The 5065-nt window shown below is 48.1% G+C and overlaps 1 pseudogene; it reads right to left on the bottom strand.

The window, feature by feature from the left end:
• On the bottom strand, positions 409 to 972 carry PRELID3BP1 (PRELI domain containing 3B pseudogene 1; annotated as a pseudogene).

Raw genomic sequence — 5065 nt, 5'->3', positions numbered from 1 at the left:
GGTACCCGATGTTGTCTGTCAACTTTCAGGATCCCCTTTCTGCAAATGCTGCTGCTGCCATTGCTTCCTCTTGCCGAGGCTGTCAATTCTTCAATCTCTACTTTTTTTTTTTTTTTTTTTTTTGAGACGGAGTTTCACTCTTGTCGCCCAGGCTGGAGTGCGATGGCAGGATCTCAGCTCACTGCAAGCTCCGCCTCTCGGATTCAAGCAATTCTCCTGCCTCAGCCTCCTGAGTAGCTGGGATTACAGGCACCCACCACCATGCTCGGCTAATTTTTGTATTTTTTAGTAGAGACGGGGTTTCACCATGTTGGCCAGGCTGGTCTCAAACTCCTGACCTCAGGTGATCTGCCTGCCTTGGCCTCCCAAAGTGCTGGGATTACAGGCATTGAGTCACCGCGCCCAGCCCACTCTCAGCATTTAATTTGTGTATTACCCATTCCACTGCTTCTTCACCTTTACTAGCACTTGAGGATATTGTACTTACCATCAGTCCTTCAGGGTAACCACTAAGGCTAACTCCTTTCATGGTGATTACGGCTTGTTGAGTCAAAATGGTTCCTTCTGGGTCCTGAGGATGTGGTTTTTATATGTCTCTCATCTACTGAAACCATATTTGCAAATGAAATATTAGTAGATTTAAGTTCCATTGCTTTCTCTACAGGATCAACAGAATGTTCTCACACACATGTTTTGGTTTTTGCTGCACCAATAAGAGACTTCACAATGGACAGCAGTCCCTACTCTGTGCTGGGAAGTCTATGGCTGTGCAACTTTCCAGACAGATCTATATGTCTGTCCAACACATTAACTCCAACCACACTTGGGCTCATAGGGTTTGAGTATTTCTGCATTGCAGCTGTTGTAACAGTTTCCTATGGGTGGTCAAAGACGTGCTCCGAAGTCCAGATCTTCATGGTGCTGGTGGCCTGAGCAATGTCTGGTGGCACCAGGGAACAATGAGGCGCAGAGTTTACACCTGCCCTGGCCCACCTCCAGCACCCCAGCCAGCCCTCAGAACACAGAGAGGAGCTACCCACTCTTCTGAGCTGTTCTCAGGCCTAACATGAGGGACCTCCTGACACGCAGCCCAGTTATATCTGTCTCATAAAGAGAATATGGAGGTTTTGATATAGGAGTGCTGAGAAGGGAACAGTGTGGTCCCTTTAAATGATAGGGAAGTGGGGAAGGGAAGTGGTGGGTAGAGAAAGGTGGGTCCCTGGCTAGGGCTCCACCCCCACTGCACTCCAGCCTGGGCAACAGAGCAAGACTCCATCTCAAAAAAAAAAAAAAAAAAAAGTCCCTCCCTCTCCCTCTCCCTCTCCCTCTCCCTCTCCCCACGGTCTCCCTCTCCCTCTCTTTCCACGATCTCCCTCTGATGCCGAGCCAAAGCTGGACTGTACTGCTGCCATCTCGGCTCACTGCAACCTCCCTGCCTGATTCTCCTGCCTCAGCCTGCCAAGTGCCTGCGATTGCAGGCGCGTGCCACCACGCCTGACTGGCTTTCGTATTTTTTTGGTGGAGACGGGGTTTCACTGAGTTGGCCGGGCTGGTCTCCAGCTCCTAACCGCGAGTGATCCGCCAGCCTCGGCCTCCCAAGGTGCCGGGATTGCAGACGGAGTCTTGTTCACTCAGTGCTCAATGGTGCCCAGGCTGGAGTGCAGTGGCGTGATCTCGGCTCGCTACAACCTCCACCTCCCAGCCGCCTGCCTTGGCCTCCCAAAGTGCCGAGATTGCAGCCTCTGCCCGGCCGCCACCCCGTCTGGGAAGTGAGGAGCGTCTCTGCCTGGCCGCCCATCATCTGGGATGTGAGGAGCCCCTCTGCCTGGCTGCCCAGTCTGGAAAGTGAGGAGCGTCTCTGCCCGGCCGCCATCCCATCTAGGAAGTGAGGAGCGCCTCTTCCGGGCCGCCATCACATCTAGGAAGTGAGGAGCTCTCTGCCCGGCCGCCCATCATCTGAGATGTGGGGAGCGCCTCTGCCCCACCGCCCCGTCTGGGATGTGAGGAGCGCCTCTGCCCGGCCGCGACCCCGTCTGGGAGGTAAAGAGCGTCTCTGCCCGGCCGCCCCATCTGAGAAGTGAGGAGACCCTCTGCCTGGCAACCACCCCGTCTGAGAAGTGAGGAGCCCCTCCGCCCGGCAGCCGCCCTGTCTGAGAAGTGAGGAGCCTCTCTGCCTGGCAGCCACCCCGTCTGGGAAGTGAGGAGCGTCTCCGCCCGGCCAGCCACCCCGTCCAGGAGGGAGGTGGGGGGGTCAGCCCCCCGCCAGGCCAGCCGCCCCATCCGGGAGGGAGGTGGGGGCGTCAGCCCCCCGCCCGGCCAGCCTCCCCGTCCGGGAGGTGAGGGGCGCCTCTGCCCGGCCACCCCTACTGGGAAGTGAGGAGCCCCTCTGCCTGGCCAGCCGCCCCGTCCGGGAGGGAGGTAGGGGGGTCAGCACCCCGCCCAGCCAGCCGCCCCGTCCGGGAGGTGAGGGGCGCCTCTGCCCGGCCGCCCCTACTGGGAAGTGAGGAGCCCCTCTGCCCGGCCAGCCGCCCCATCCGGGAGGGAGGTGGGGGGGTCAGCCCCCTGCCCGGCCAGCCGCCCCGTCCAGGAGGTGAGGGGCACCTCTGCCCGGCCGCCCCTTCTGGGAAGTGAGGAGCCCCTCTGCCCGGCCACCACCCCGTCTGGGAGGTGTACCCAACAGCTCATTGAGAACGGGCCAGGATGACGATGGCGGTTTTGTGGAATAGAAAGGGGGGAGGGGTGGGGAAAAGATTGAGAAATTGGATGGTTGCCCTGTCTGTGTGGAAGGAAGTAGACATGGGAGACTTTTCATTTTGTTCTGTACTAAGAAAGATTCTTCTGCCTTGGGATCCTGTTGATCTGTGACCTTGCCCCCAACCCTGTGCTCTCTGAAACATGTGCTGTGTCCACTCAGGGTTAAATGGATTAAGGGTGGTGCAAGATGTGCTTTGTTAAACAGATGCTTGAAGGCAGCATGCTCGTTAAGGGTCATCACCACTCCCTAATCTCAAGTACCCAGGGACACAAACACTGCAGAGGGCCGCAGGGTCCTCTGCCTAGGAAAACCAGAGACTTTTGTTCACTTGTTAATCTGCTGACCTTCCCTCCACTATTGTCATATGACCCTGCCAAATCCCCCTCTGCGAGAAACACCCAGGAATGATCAATTAAAAAAAAAAAAAAAGCCATTGGAATTATTTGCCCTTTAATGCCTTTATCAAATTCATCTGTAATACTATGGGTCTTGTTGCCTTGATGGGGGTGTAACTCTTTGAAAGTTTTCTTGATTTCTTCTATAAAAATCAGACTGTTTAGATTTTCCATCTCTTCTGGAGTCACTTTTGATAAATGTGGTGAATTTCTAGAAAGTTATTCATTTCTATCCAGGTTTTAAAATTCATTTGCATAGATTTCAGCCATCTTAAATGGTTCTTCTAATGTGGTTATTTCCCCTTTATCATTTTGTATTTTGTGTATCTCTACTTTCTGTGTTTTTTTCTTCAAGTTTCCTAGGCTATTTCTCAATGTTGAATGTTATGTGCCAAATTTTCTGGAAATTGGAATTCTAAGCCAATGTCTAGGTACAGACCTAGGTATATTTTAAAAGTTAGTTTATGATAAAAGTGACATTTTAAGTCAGCTGAAGAAATTTACCAAATTGTGTTAAGAGAAATAACTATTAATATATATTTGGGGAAAAAATTGACTCCATACCTAATGGCACTCACTGAAATAAACTCCAAATAAATTTAAAAGTTATTCCTGAAATGTATGTGAGAAGAAAATATAGTAGCGTATTTTTCTAACTTTGGAACAAGGAAATCATTTCTAAACAAGGCAAAAAAAGCCATAAAAATAATTGTAGATTGAATCAATTAAAACTTCAATGCAGTAAAAGACATCATATGTAAAATTAAGTTACATTACAGGGAGAAAACTTTGCAAGATATTTAAAGGGCTAATAGTTAATAATCTAGCATACATTGAATTCTTACAAATTAATAAGGAAATGCCAAATAGCCTATTTAAAAAACGGACAAAAGATGGAAAGGAAAATTTACAGAAAAAAGTTAATAATCTAGCATGCATTGAATTCTTGCAAATTAATAAGGAAATGCCAAATAGCCTATTTAAAAAATGGACAAAGGATGGAAAGGAAAATTTACAGAAAAAGTATAAACAGAGAATAAAAAGATATCCAATTTACTGTCATCTGAAAAGTGCAAATTAGAACAAGTGTACCAGTTTTGCCTATCAGAATGGTATCAACTAAAATAATTGAAAATATTAAATGTTTAAGCAGAAATGGATAGGAAATATAAAATATAGAAGGGAGTGAATCTGAAAGATCACTTTAGAAAAATGTATATACCCTTTCATTCAGCAATTACTCCATTCTAAAGAAATACTTACATAGCTTCATGAAGATGCATACAAGAACATTCATTATTGGTTATATAGAGAAATGGTCAAACAATACATATTATATGCATAATATGAAATACTGGTTGTCATTATAAGAAGGAGCTAGAGCTGACTGCAGTGATGTGCAAAGCTCTAAAGACCTATTGTTAAATGAAAAAAACAGGTTGAATGATGATCCATATATTATTATCATGTGTGTAAAACAAATAGCTAAACTGTGTGGTGTGTAGTGCATATGTATAAATGCATTTTTTAAAAAGACCGAAGACCAAAAGATGTTGTCTTAGTCCATTTAGGCTGCTATAACAAAATACCTTAGGCTAGGTAATTTAAAAGCAGCAGAAATTTGTTGCTCACAGTTCTAGGCTGGGAAGTCCAAGATCAAGGAACCAAAATGTTACGGGATCTCTGGAGCGTTGATTTCTTTGACTGGAAACCTCTGTGGCCATGGTGCCTTTGCCCAAGCTCTTGTCCTGCATCCAGACAAGTGAAGGGTGAAGAAGAGTTTTATTTAGTGATAGAACAGCTCAGAAGAGTGGGTAGCTCCTCTCCGTAGGCAGGTCATCCTGTCGAATGTTCAGCTCCCAGCAGAGAGGAGGTCCTGGAGAGGGTGGCTCCTCCATGCAGGCAAGTCATTCAG

This window comes from Homo sapiens, chromosome 1, assembly GCF_000001405.40.
Source record: "Homo sapiens chromosome 1, GRCh38.p14 Primary Assembly".
Classification (NCBI taxonomy): domain Eukaryota; kingdom Metazoa; phylum Chordata; class Mammalia; order Primates; family Hominidae; genus Homo; species Homo sapiens.
The sequence above is the reverse complement of the archived record's forward strand: the minus strand, read 5'-3'. Positions and strand labels throughout refer to the sequence as shown.